At 39.9% G+C, this 14,704-nt stretch overlaps 1 protein-coding gene across 32 annotated transcripts in view, besides 1 other annotated feature; it reads right to left on the minus strand.

Moving 5' to 3' along the window:
• Positions 1-14,704, minus strand: part of BCLAF3 (BCLAF1 and THRAP3 family member 3) — a 78,202-nt gene that overhangs the window by 58,000 nt on the left and 5,498 nt on the right. The window lies entirely within an intron of this gene.
• Positions 12,058-12,249: a silencer, noted in NCBI's record as "fragment chrX:20001035-20001226 (GRCh37/hg19 assembly coordinates)". NCBI's record gives its function as "represses an EF-1alpha promoter that drives an FKBP-Casp9 reporter gene in an ReSE screen in K562 erythroleukemia cells {active_cell/tissue: K562}" and the evidence as "EXISTENCE:reporter gene assay evidence [ECO:0000049][PMID:32094911]".

A 14,704-nucleotide genomic window follows, 5' to 3' on the forward strand; every position in this document is an offset into this window, starting at 1 on the left:
ATCATAAAAAGAGCTTATTGGTGTCTGGCAACAGCAACTGCTAAATAAGTATTCCAAAAAGAGGAAAAATTACCCAGAATTCCTCTATCTGAATACAAGCACTACTACTTTCCTGTCTTTCACCATGTACAGAAACACTTCATATAATCACAGTTTAAATGTTTAGGAATACGTGATGGTATACTCTGCTTTTTAAATTGTTAGATTCTAAGAATTATAATTTCTTCTTTTAAAATTTCTTTTCTTTTGAGACAGGGTTTTGCTCTTTCTCCCAGGCTGGAGTGCAGTGGTGCGATCACAGTTCACTGCAGCCTCAACTTCCCAGGCTCCAGCGATGCTCGACCTCCCAGGTAGCTGGGACCACAAGCGTGCACATCCGCACCTGGCTAATTTTTGTATTTTTGGTAGACACGGGGTTTTGCCATGTTGCCCAGGTTGGTCTGGATCTCCTGAGTTCAAGCAATCCTCCGACCTTGGCCTCCCAAAGTGCTGGGATTACAGGCGTGAGCTACCACATCCGGTCAGAATTACAATTTCTAATACTCAACTGCTGCCTAACTTTCCACCAGACAAATATGCCCAAAATATAATTGAACATTATTAGACATTTAGTTTGCTTCTGGTTTTTTGCTAAAACAAATAATGTCAAATAAGTAAATTTTAAAAGGCACTTCTAAACTTGATTTTTCAAATATTCTTCAGTCTTTAAAAGAAACTGATAGCTTCGGAAACTGAATTTTAAAAACACATAAGTAGGTATAATCTCCTATACTAGCTATTATTTACAACTCAGTAGTCCTCCTCAGTTCTGATACGAATATTAAGTAGTTCCTAACTTAGTGGTCCCAAACCCCTGGTGGCTTCTAGAACGACTGCCATGGGCTCATGAATTATCATATAGCTACCGTGCACAGACCACAGAATAAATAAGTGTATGTCTCATATATTATGCACCTCGATTTTGCAAATTTCTGAAGACACTATGGTGAAACTAAAATATAAAGGCTTCTTGTCACTATGCAGTTTTTCCACCCACAGATACAAAAAGTACAATTATTATGTAGACATCAGTTTAAAAGGCGGTCCTCATACTCAAACATTTGCAAACTACTGTTATCCTGAATTTCAAAAGAAAGTAAAAGCATATCAAGTCAAAGAACTTGAACTAGATCACTCATTAAAGGAAGTACAATCAATTCAATTCATTTAGTTATACACAGCCTCTTTCTAAAAAGATTTTGAGGCTAAGAACAATTAGCTCACAAAGTATTATGAAATTAAAACACTAAAGGAAAAAATGTTTACTTAGTAACTAAAAGTATCAAAATGTATTCATTTAACAAATTTTGCTGTGTACCAATTATTTGCCAGACACTGTTCTAGGGCTACAGCAGTGAACAAAAACAGACAAAACTTCCTGCTCTGATAGAGATTACATTCAATAGGGAAGCTTATAATTTCACTAGATAAACTCTGGGTATCAGTTCATACCTATTAAATTTAATGAAAATAATAAACCCAAAGGTGGTAATTTTTTTGGGGGCGGGTGGGAACAAAAATATTGCTGATGATAATGAGAAAGGAAAATTTTTCTGGAGCATAATCTTTTTTCCATTTTTAAAAACAAAACATATTTATTGATATTGAATTCACATGCCATATAATTTACCCATTTAAAGTATACAATTCAATGTTTTTTAGTATATTCACAGTGATATACAACCATTATCACTGTCTAGTTGTAGAACATTTTCATCCTCCCAAAAGAGACCCCATTAGCAGTGAATCCCCACTTCTCCCCTCCCCTGCTTAGCCCGTTTCTATGGATCTGCCTATTTGAGACATCTCATACAAATGGAATCAAACAGTATGTAGTTTTTTTGTGACTGGCTTCTTTCACTTAGCATGTTTTCAAGGTTCACCTGTGTTGTAGTATGTATCAGTACGTCATCCCTTTTTATGGTAGAATAATAGACATTTCATTGTATGGGTACATTACATTTTGTTCATTCATTCACCTCTCCATGCACATTTGGGTTGTTTCTACCTTTCAGCTATTATAAATAACGCTCTTACGAACATTTGTGTACAAGTTTTTATGTGGACATATGTTTTCATTTCCTTGGGTATATACCTAGAAGTGGAATTACTGGGTCACTTGGTAACTCTATGTTTAACTTTTTGAGGATCTGCCAAACTTTTCCAAAGTAGCTGCACCATTTTACATTCCCACCAGCAGTGTATGAGGGTTCTAATTTTTCTACATCCTCACCAACACTTACTATATTTTTGACTATAGCCATCCTAGTGGGTATGAAGTGGTATCTCATTGTGTTTTTGATTTGCATTTCCCTAATGACTAATGGAGAGTAATCTTGAAACATACATGTTTCTTACAAGAAACTATGAAACTAATCATACCTCCTTTCCTTTAATCTAGTAATTTCAGTTTAAACTTGTTTTAAAAAATAATTCAAAAGAAAAAAATCAGCTGTGTACACTAAGATGTTTGTATCAGTTTTATTTATAATAGGAAAGAAAAAAAGCTCAAGAAAACTAATAACCCAAATGCTCAACAAAAAAGATTAAACAAATGTAAGATAGATACATCTAGTTGCTTCCTACCTTTCTCCCAGCCTTATGTGTGTCTTTTCCCCCACACACCCTACTAGTCCCCTACACCACACTACTTGCTTTCCCTGATCAGGCCATGCTCGTCCAGCACATGGATGGCCTTCCCTCGGTCAGCTTGACAAATCCCTATTCTTTCCCGATTGTGTAACTATCACATCCCCTAGGACTCTTTCCTGGACTTTCTGTTTTTTCCCTCTGGGCTTCTTTCTCCTTGGGAATTCTGGGTTTATTTTGCAATTATTTCAACACATCGTATTTATTTACATAACTGTATTTATTTCAATAGGCAAAAGACTCCATTATCACAGAACACAAAACTCAAATGACCTATGAACGTATGAGATGTTCAACTTAATTAGCAATTGGGAAAATACAAATTAAGATCATAGCCATTTGATATGCCAAAGGGCTATGATCACCCATCAGATAGGCCAAAAATGTTTAAGTTGCATATTCCAAAGTGTTGGCAAAGATGTGTGAAAATGGGAACTCTCAGTTACTGCTAGGTGAACTGTACATGGTACAGTATAACCAGTTTGAAAATACCATTGCCCCTTGGTACACTCAGGGGATTGGTTCCAGAATCCCCACATACGCCAAAATCCGTGCATATCCAAGTCCCTCTGTATAGGCAGCTTTCACATATCTCAAATGCCGTATTTTCTATACCCGTTTCATTGGGAAAAACTTCACATATAAGTGGACCCACACAGTTCAAACCCATGTTGTTCAAGTGTCACCTGTAGTTTGGAAATACCCAATAAAGTCGAACATGCCCATATCCCACAGCCCAGCAATTCCATGCAGGAATATACACTGGAGTAGTTCTCAAACTTTAGTGTGCATTAGAATCGCCTGGAGGGCTGGTTAAAATACAGATTGCTGGGCCCTACCCCTGGGGTGGGCCCCACTCTAGCAGGTTCCCAGGTGATGTGGATGCTGCTGGTCCAGGGGCTACAGAACCACTAGTTTTAAAGGAAAAGTGGACATCACTTGGGAGAAAATATTTACAAGCGACATTTATTGCATGTGATAAAAGAAGTATTATTAAGAACACTTTCCTTCACCCAATATTAAAATTAGTTTTATTAAAATTCAAATGGGCCAGGCACGGCAGCTCATTCACCCCTGTAATCCCAGCACTTTGGGAGGCTGAGGTGGGTGGATCACGAGGTCAGGAGATCGAGACCATCCTGGCTAAAATGGTGAAACCCCATCTCTACTAAAAATACAAAAAAATTAGCCAGGCATGGTGGCGCGTGGCTGTAGTCCCAGCTACTCGGGAGGTTGAGGCAGGAGAATCGCTTGAACCCGGGGGGCGGAGGTTACAGTGAGCCGAGATCGCACCACTGGACTCCAGCCTAGGTGACAGAGTGAGACTGCATCTCAAAAAAATAAATAAATAAATAAATTTCAAACTATTCATTCAAAGATGGTGAATTTTATTGCATATAAATTATACCTCAAAGCTGTAAAAACATTAGCTTTGGGGTGATGAAAATATTCTAAAATTAGATCAGATATTATGGAGATGGTTGCATAACTCTGCAAGCATACTAAAAACCACTGAAATGCACACTTTAAACCAGTAAACTATAAAGCTATTTTTTAAAGTTAACTTTGTTTGCAATTGCTTAGTGGGCATCAGCTGATAACGAGAAGTACTAGTTCAGCTGCTTGATAGATAAGAGAGGAGGTTTAAACATACAGCCTGAGCTGAGAATGCTTTTTACATTTTAAAGTGTTGTTAAAAAAAAAAAAAGAAGAAGAATATGTGACAGAGACTGTACGTGGCCCACAAAGCCTAAAATATTTACTATATGGTTCTTTTTTCTTTTTTTTTTCCCTTCCTTTTTTTTTCTTTTTTTGAGATGGAGTCTCACTCTGTCACCCAGGGTGGAGTGCAGTGCTGCGATCTCGGCTCACTGCAACCTCCACCTCCCGGGTTCAAGTGATTCTCATGCCTCAGCCTCCCAAGTAGCTGGGACTACAGGTGTGCGCCACCACACCCGACTAATCTTTGTACTTTCAGTAGAGACAGGGTTTCACCACGTTGGCCAGGCTGGTCCTGAACTTCTGGCCTCAAATGATCTGCCCGCCTCAGCCTCCCAAAGGGCTAGGATTACAGGCGTGAGCCACTGCGCCCGGCCCATGCCCAGCTAATTTTTAAAATTTTTTGTACAGATGGGACTCAATATGTTGCCAGGCTGGTCTCAAACTCTTAGGCTCAAGCGATCCTCCTGCCTCGGCCTTTCAAAGCATTGGGATTACAGGCGTGAACCACCACACATGGCTGCCAGGAGCATTTCACACACCTTCCTCCTGGAAACATTTTCTTCACTTGGATTCCAGAATACTACACTTTCTTGGTTTTCCTCCTACCTCTATAACAATTCCTTCTGTCTCTTTTGCCATTTCTCCTCATCTTCCCTGTCATCACCCTGACCCTTAAGAGTGAACCCAGTCTTCCTCTAAATAGTGACTTTGGTCTTTGGACTTGTGTCCATACTCTCATTCAGTCTCATGCCTTTAAATATCCTCTATAAACTAACAACCTCAAATTTATAACTCCAGCTCACACCCATCCCATGCACTCTAGCCTTGCATATCCAACAGCCCACTGGATTCTGTAAACATGTCCATGAGCAAACTCCTCATCTCCCTCCAACATTTTCTCCTCTTACAGTCTGTCCCATCTCAGTAAATGGCAGCTCCACCCTTCCAGTTTTCAACAAAGAGGAAATACAAATGTCCAATAAACACATGAAAAGATACTCCACCCTGCTAAGAATCCAGGAAATAACATGAAAATAATGAGATATTATTTCACACTCATGAGATTTGCAAAAATTTTAAAGTCTGATGGCACCCATGTGTTGACAAGAGAGTGGGAAAACAGAATTTCTTTTTTTTTTGAGATGGAGTCTCGCTCTGTCACCCAGGCTGGAGTGCAGTGGTGCAATCTCGGCTCCCTGCAGCCTCCGCCTCTCGGGTTCCAGCGATTCTCCTGCCTCAGCCTCCCAAGTAGCTGGGATTACAGGCATGCGCCACCACTCCTGGCTAATTTTTGTATTTTTAGTAGAGACGAGGTTTCACCACGTTGGCCAGGCTGGTCTCGAACTCCTGACCTCAGGTGATCCACCTGCCTCAGTCTCCCAAAGTGCTGAGATTACAGGCAAGAGCCACCATGCCCAGCCAGAAAACAGAATTTCCTACCTGCGAAAATTTTCTCCCCAAAAAACCATGAAGCAAAAGGAAACAGTAAGTCTGTAGAGGCACATCTCATTTTATTGTGCTCTGCCTTACTGCGCTTCACAGATACTGCATTTTTTACAAATGCAGAATTTTTTACTATGCAGGGTTTGTGGCAAACCTGCATTGAACGAGTCTATCAGTGCCATTTTTCCAACCTCATGTGTTTACTTCTTGTCTCTGTGTCATATCACATTTTGGGAATTATCAAAGTATTTCAAACTTCTTCCCTATTATTATATCTGTTATGGTGATCTGTGATCTTTGATGCTACTATTGTAATTGGGGGCACCATGAACCATGCCCTTATAAGATGCGAACATAATCAATAAATGTAGTATGTGTTCTGATGGGGCATTCTTCCTTCTCTCTCCCTTTCTTCAGGCCTCCCTACTCCCTGAGACACAATAATATTGAAATGAGGTCAACTAATAATCCTAAAATGGCCTCTAAATGTTCAAGTGAAAGGAAGAGTCACACATCTCACGTTAAATCAAAAGCTAGAAATGATTAAGCTTAGTGAGGAAGGCTCATCGAAAGCTGAGAAAGGCCAAAAACTAGGCTTCTTGGGTCAAACAGCCAAGTTGTGGATGCAAAGGGAAAGTTCTTGAAGGAAATTAAATGTGTTACTTCAATGAACACATGAATAAGAAAGTGAAACAGTCTTATTGCTGATATGGAGAAAGTTTGAGTGGTCCGGATAGAAGCTCAAACCAGCCACAACGTTCCCTTAAGCCAAAGCCCAATCCAGAGCAAGACTCTAACTCCATTCAATTCTGTGAAGCCTGAGAGAGGTAAGGAAGCTGCAGAAGCAAAGTTGGAAGTTAGCAGAGGTTGGCTTGTGACGTTTAAGGAAAGAAGCCATCGCCATAACATAAAAGGGCAAAGTGAGGCAGCAAGTGCTGACGGAGAAGCTGCAGCAAGTTATCCAGAAGATCGCTGATGAAGGTGGTTACATTAAACAACACGTTTTCAGTGTAGATGAAACAGCCTTCTCTTGGAAGATGGGACTTTCACAATTAGAGAGGTAAATGCCTGGCCTCAATGCTTTAAAGGACAGCCTGACTCTCTTGTTAGGGGCTAATGCAGCTATGACTTTCAGTTGAAGCCAATGTTCACTGACCATCCTAAAATTCCTGGGGCCCTTAAGAATTATACTAAATCTACTCTGCCTGTGCTCCATAAATGGGACAACAAAGCCTGAGTGACAGCACATCTGTTTACAGCATGGTTTACTGAATATTTTAAGCCCAATGTTGAGACCTACTGCTCAAAAAAAAAAAAGATTCCTTTCAAAATATTAATGCTCATTGACAATGCACCTGGTCACCCAAGAGCTCTGATGGAGATATACAAGGAGATTAATGCTGTTTTTGTGCCTGCTAACACAGCATTCATTCTGTAGCCCATAGATCAAGGAGTAATTTTGACTTTCAAGTCTTGTTATTTAAGAAATACGTTTTGTAAGACTATAGCTGCCATTGATAGTGATTCCTCTGATGGATCTGGGGAAAGTCAATTGAAAACCTTCTGGAAAGGATTCACCATTCTAGATGCCATTAAGAACATTCATGACTCATGGGAGGAGGTCAAAATATCAGTATTAACAGGGGTTTGGAAGAAGTTGATTCCAACTCTCACGGATGATTTTGAGGGGTTCAAGACTTCAGTGGAGGAAGTCAATGCAGATGTGGTAGAAACACCAAGAGAGCTAGAAGAGGAAGTAAAGCCTGAAGATGTGACTAAATTGCTGCAATCTCATGATCAAACTTGGATGTATGCAGAGTTGCTTCTTACAGATGAGCAAAGAAAGTGGTTTCTTGATTGGAATCTCCTCCTGGTGAAGATGCTATGAACATCGTTGAAATTATAAAAAAGGATTTAGAATATTACATATGTTTAGTTGATAAAGCAGTAGCAGGGTTTGACAGGTTTACTTTAATTTTGATGGAAGTGCTACTGTGAGTAAAATGCTATCAAACAGCATCTATGCTACAGAGAAATCTCTTATTTATTTTTTTTTTGTCTTATATTTTTTCAGAGATGGGGTTTCACTTTGTTGCCCAGGCTGGTCTTGATCTCCTATCCTCAAGAGATACTCCTGCCTTAGCCTCCCAAAGTGCTGGGATTACAGGGGTGAGCCACAGCATCCAGCCAGAGAAATCTTTTGTAAAGGAAGAGTTGATCGATGCAACAAACCTTATTGTTGCCTTATTTTAAGAAATTGCCCTAGGCTGGGCGTGGTAGCTCATGCCTGTAATCTCAGCCCTTTGGAAGGCCAATGCAGGTGAATCAGTTGAGGCCAGGAGTTCGAGACCAGCCTGGCCAACATGGTGAAACCCCGTCTCTACTAAAAATACAAAAATTAGCCAGGTGTGGTGGCATACACCTATAATCCCAGCTACTTGGAAGGCTGAGGCAGGAGAATCACTTGAACCCCCAGAAGGTGGAGGTTCCAGTGAGCCACGATTGTGCCACTGCACTCCAGCCTGGGTGACAGAGCAAGACTCCACCCCCTCCCAAAAAAAATTGCCTTAGCTACCCCAACCTTCAACAACCAACCCCTGATCAGTCACCAGCCCATAAAACTAAGGCAAGACCCTTCATCAGTAGAAAGATGATGCGTCACTGAAGGCTTAGAGGACCATCAGCATTTTTTTTTTAGCAATAATATATTTTTAAATTAAGGTATGTATTGTTTTAGACATAATGCTTTTGCACACCTAACAAACTGCAGTATAGCATAAACATAACTTTTATGTGCATCAGGAAACAAAAAAATTGTGTGACTCACTTTATTACAATATTCACTTTATTGTGGTGGTCTGGAACCAAACCCGCAATATCTCTGAGGTATGCCTGTACTACAAATAGAATTAAATATATTCAAAATCATTTGAGGATATTAAAAAACCTACCTTGAATCAGAAATTCACAAACTAAGAACAGAAATAGATGAAAAACAAATAAAAAATGAAAAAATGAAAGAATAAAAGTTAACTGAACTCAAGAAAAAAAAATGAGAGAAAAAGACTCAACTATCTCAAAAGTGAGGAATAAATTACAATGTGCCCAAGAGAGAATAAACTCAAATTAAAATTTAATAAGGAACATTGAAGGCTGGCATGAAAACAACCAAGAAAATAAAAATGACATTGAGGGAGAGGGAAAGGGAGAGAGAGAGAGAATAGTGGGGAGAGGGAAAGAAAGGGTCAGAGACAAAGTAGTGGAAATAGCAAATAGGTAGAGAAAAAAACTAATATTCATATAATTGCAGTCCCTGAAGAAGAAAAAACAAACAATAGAACTAAACTAATATTTAAAACTATAATTTGCTCAGAATGCAAGAAAACATTCCAGAAATTTTAAAATACCTAAAATACCTGAATCTATACATTTAAGGTCTCACAGGTACCTTGGAAAATTAATCTAGAACAAGTAAGTCTGAAATATAGCCTAATAAAAACTATGTGATTTCAAACATAAAGATAAAATTCTCAAGGCTCCCAGGCAAAAAGAATAAATAACTTAAAAGTCCAAAAGAACTGGATCAGTATCAGATTATGAGATTTTTCAAAAACAAAATACAAAGCAAGGTGAGAAACAGCAGCACTAAAAAATAAAACTCAATGAAAGTAATGTGAGCTGAGGATTTTACATCAGTCACGAAGTTCCTTAAACATCAAGGCAACAAGAAAAACAGTTTTCAACTTACAAGGGTATAGGGAATTCTGCACTCACTAACCCTTTCTGAGGAATATACTGGAGGATGAGCTTTATTCAACTAAATGGGGGAAATGTCAGCAAAAGGACTGATTGTGAGCATTTAAAAATATGTAAATGTACATATAAGACACTAAAAGAAAGATAAGGATGAAGGCGGAAGATTAGTGTAAAATTGCTACACATTGGCTGGGCGTGGTGGCTCACACCTGTAATCCCAGCACTTTGGGAGGCTGAGGTGGGCAGATCACCTGAGACCAGGAGTTGGAGACCAGCCTGGCCAACATGGTGAAACCCCATCTCTACTAAAAATACAAAAAATTAGACAGGCGTGGTGTTGCACACCTGTAGTCCCAGGTACTCGGGAGGCTGAGACACGAGAATCGCTTGAACCCAGGAGGCAGAGGTTGCAGTGAGCCAAGATTGCACCACTGCACTCCAGCCTGGGCGACAGAGTAAGACTCCGTCTCAAAAAAAAAAAAAAAAATTGCTACACATTGTGATAGAGTTAAAAAAAGAAAGTACAACTAGAAAACGGGAGAAGAAGAGAAAGCAAGAGAGAACAGTAGAAGCAGTTCCACTGCTATGTACACAATAGGTGGGTTTAAGGGATACTGGCAGGAAAAAATAGATACACCAGATATTAAGAGGTTAAACAAATCAACACCGGGTGCTGAGACAACTGGATATCGACAAGCAAAAGGTTAAAGTTTGACCCTACCTCATACCATATACAAAAATTAACTCAAAATGGATTAAGGACCTAAATATAAGAGTTAAATCTATAAAACTTAGAAGAAAACATAAAAATAATCTGTATGATCTTGGATCAGGAAATGATTTTTAAGTTAGGATATCAAAAACAAAGCAACGTTATTTCCAATTGCTGCTACAAAAAAAATCAAAACAAAACAAAAAACAAAGCAACAAAAGAAAAAATGGATAAATTGGGCATCATCAAAATAACAAGCATTTCAGGGATGTAGAAATATTGGAACCCTCACACATTCCTGGTAGAAATGTAAAATAGAGTAGCCACTTGGAAAAGTTTGGCAGTTCCCCCACAAGTTAAACATAGAGTTACTGTATGACCCAACTATTCCACTCCTAGATAGATACCCAGGAGAAATGAAAACATATGTCTACACAAAACTTGTATACAAATATCCATAGGAGCATATTAATACTACACTATACAATGGAATATGTATCATTTGACCATAAAAGGGAATGAAGTACCAATACATGCTACAACACAGACAAACCTGGAAAACATCATGCTAAGCGAAAGAAGCCAGTCACAAAAGACCACTATTATATGATTCCCTTTATATGAAATGTCCAGAATAAGCAAATCCATAGAAATAAAAAGTAGACTGGTGGTTGCCTGGGTGGGAGAAGGGGTGGGGGGATGAGAAATGATGGCTAATGGGCACAGAGTTTCTTTTTGGGGGTGAAGAAAATGTTCTAAAATTAGACTGTGGTGATGGTTGCACAACTCTATGAATATACTAAAAAACACTGAATTGTACACTTTAAATGGGTAAATTGTGTTATGTTAATTCTATCTCAACAAAGCTGTTACAGAAAAAAAATCAACTGACAGAGATTCCACACTAAATGTGAATTCAGCATTTACAAATGCAAAGAATAAAAATTCCCCAGGAAAGCCTTTGCAACAAAGAAGCCTCAGGCTGGGCGTGGTGGCTCATGCCTGTAATCCCAACACTTTGGAAGGCAGAGGCAGGCAGATCCTTTGAGCCCAGAAGTTAGAGACCAGCCTGGGCAACACAGTGAAACCCCCTCTCTCCAACAACAACAACAAACAAACAAACAAACAAAAAAGCCACACTCCCATCACAGAAACGCACCAAGTCAGAGCCCACAGAAAAAGAGCACAATCAGTAGAATAGTGAGAAGGGGAAGGTAGACCTGAAGAGACCATCATGGATTATTATCTTGGCCACGGTGGGTAGCTGTTATCTGTTATTGCCAGTTCTTCAGTAAGGAGGAGCACGAAGTAGATACAGAATTCCACAGTTGTCTATCATTATCCTACTTTGATTACATAGATGCAATTTCACACACACACACACACACACACACACACACACACGCACACACACACACATGCACAGAAAAATAAGCAAACAAAGGAGTGAGGGTATTTTAAAAGGTGTAAGTACAAAGGTAAACGATTAGAACAAAAATGCAAACCTTCCTAAATACACCCCCACACACACCCTAATTTTTGTAATAAAAGAGCAAAATATCTACCTCGCATAGAGAAATGGCAAAGATAACAAATACACATAATTATAAAATATTATGATGGATTTGAGGTCAAATTTTTCAGTCCTAACAATAAATGTGGGTGGGCTTAATCCACCTATTACAATAAAAATTTTCAATTTGACTAACAGAAGAAACCTCAACAACTTTTACAATACAAAAGACATATCTAAACCAAAGTGATTCCTTTTTTTTTTCTTTTTTTTTTTTTTTTTTGAGACGGAGGCTCTGTTGCCCAGGCTGGACTGCAGCGGCACCATCTCCACTCACTGCAACCTCCACCTCCCAAGTTCAAGCGATTCCCGTGCTTCAGCCTCCCAAGTAGCTGGTACTATAGGTGTGCAGCACCACGCCCAGCTAAATTTTTTTGTATTTTTAGTGGAGATGGGGTTTCGCCATGTTGGCCAAGCTGGTCTCAAACTCCTGACCTCAGGTGATCCACCTGCCTTGGCCTCCCAAAGTGCCGGGATTACAGGCGTGAGCCACAACACCCAGCCCCAAAGTGATTCTGAATGGTTAAAAATAAAAGGTTAGGCCGGGCATAGTGGCTCACACCTGTAACCCCAGCACTTTGGGAGGCCGAGGCAGGCGGGCAGATCACCAGAAGTCAGGAGTTCGAGACCAGCTTGGCCAACATGGCGAAACCCCGTCTCTACTAAAAATACAAAAAAATTAGCTGGGCATGGTGGCTCATGCCTGTAATCCCAGCACTTTGGGAGGCCAAGGCGGGTGGATCACCTGAGGTCAGAAGACAAGGCCGGCAAACACGGCAAAACCCCGTCTCCACTAAAAATATAAAAAAAATGTAGCTGGGCATGGTGGCATGCGCCTACGGTCCCAGCTACTCAGGAGGCTGAGGCAGGAGAATCACTTGAACCCGGGAGGCGGAGCTTACAGTAAGCCAAGATCACACCACTGCACTCCAGCCTGGGAAAGAGAGTGAGACACAGTCTCTAAATAAATAAGTAAATACATAAATAGCTGGAAAAGGTATACGAGGCAAATGGAAACAAAAGGAGAGTAGGCAGCTGGGCAAGGTGGCTTATGCTTGTAATCCCAGCACTTTGGGAGGCTAAGGCGGGTGGATCACCTCAGGTCAGGAGTTCGAGACCAGCCTGGCAAACACCGTGAAACCCCGTCTCCGCTAAAAATATAAAAAAATGTAGCTGGGCGTGGCGGCACGCGCCTATAGTCCCAGCTACTCAGGAGGCTGAGGCAGGAGAATCGCTTGAACCCGGGAGGCGGAAGTTGCAGTGAGCCGAGATCGTGCTACTGCACTCCAGCCTGGGCAACAAGAGCAAGACTCCATCTCAAAAAAAAAAAAAAAAAAAAAAAAAGACTAGGAATGGCAACCCTGGTCTCAGGCAAAGCAGAATCCATGTCCTAAAGCATTAACTGTGACACAAAAAGACACTTTTTAATCCCAAAAGCCACACCCCACAATGAAGATATAACATATAAATATATGTATTTATATAAACATAACACAGCAATCACCTTCATGAGACAAAAACTACAAGAGATGCGAGGAGACACTGGAAACACACTAATAATAGGAGACTTTAATACATCATTCTTTGTACAAGACATATTAGGTGAACCAAAAATAAGGAGACCTAAAATCTAAACAACATACTCAATAGAGTAACTCTTACTAATGTTTATCAAACTCTACACTCTGATACTAATGAATACAGTTTCTTCTCAACTGCTCACACCACATTCATCAAAATAATCATATATTAGGTCACAAAGAAAAAATATTTCCACTTCAATAAAGTGGAAATATTACAAACAATATGTCTGATTATAATGCAATGAAACTAGAATTTATTAACAATAATTTAAAAAACAGAAAGCCTCTTCCATGTAGAAATTTAATAGCCTACTATTAAGCAACTCCTGGGTATTTTAGAACTAAAATTATACTTTTTTTTTTTTTGAGACGGAGTTTCACTCTTGTTGCCCAGGCTGGAGTGCAATGGCACAATCTCGGCTCACTGCAACCTCCGCCTCCCAGGTTCAAGTGATTCTCCTGCCTCAGCCTCCCGAGTAGCTGGGATTATAGGCATGCACCACCACGCCCGGCTAATTTTGTATTTTTTTAGTAGAGACGGGGTTTCTCCATGTTGGTCAGGCTGGTCTTAAACTCCCGACCTCAGGTGATCTGCCTGCATCGGCCTCCCAAAGTGCTGGGATTACAGGCGTGAGCCCGGCCAAAATTATACATTTTTAAAGAAATAACGACACTGAAAACATTACATATCAGATTCTTTTTTATTTACTTTTTTATGTTTTTAAGGCTAGTCAAGTGAAGTAGCGGGAGTGAAGAAGGAACAAAGAAATCTGTAACTGGTTGCCATCGATTAGTTGTAAATACCACTGCACTCGAACCAGCCTACAAATCCAATTTTATAGCATGCATTTAAAGCAGTAATCAGAGGAAAATTCATTGCACTAAACACAATTATTAGTAAAAATGAAAGAATAAAAATAAGTAAATTTTATTCCAAGGTCAAAAAACACTTAAAAATAGGCTAGGCACCGTGCACTCACACCTGTAATCCCACTGCTTTGGGAGGCTAAGGTGGGAGTACCACTTGATGCCAGGAGTTTGGGAATAGCCTGGGAAACATAACAAGACCCTGTCTCTACAAAAAAATAATTAAAAAAAAATTAGCTAGGCGTGGTGGCACACGCCTGTAGTCCTAGCTTCTCGGGAGGTTGAGGCAGGGGGATTGCTAAAGCCCAGGAATTCAAGGCTACAGTGAGCTATGATAGACCACTGCACCCCAGCCTGGGT

This window comes from Homo sapiens, chromosome X (assembly GCF_000001405.40).
Source record: "Homo sapiens chromosome X, GRCh38.p14 Primary Assembly".
NCBI classification, from domain to species: Eukaryota; Metazoa; Chordata; class Mammalia; order Primates; family Hominidae; genus Homo; species Homo sapiens.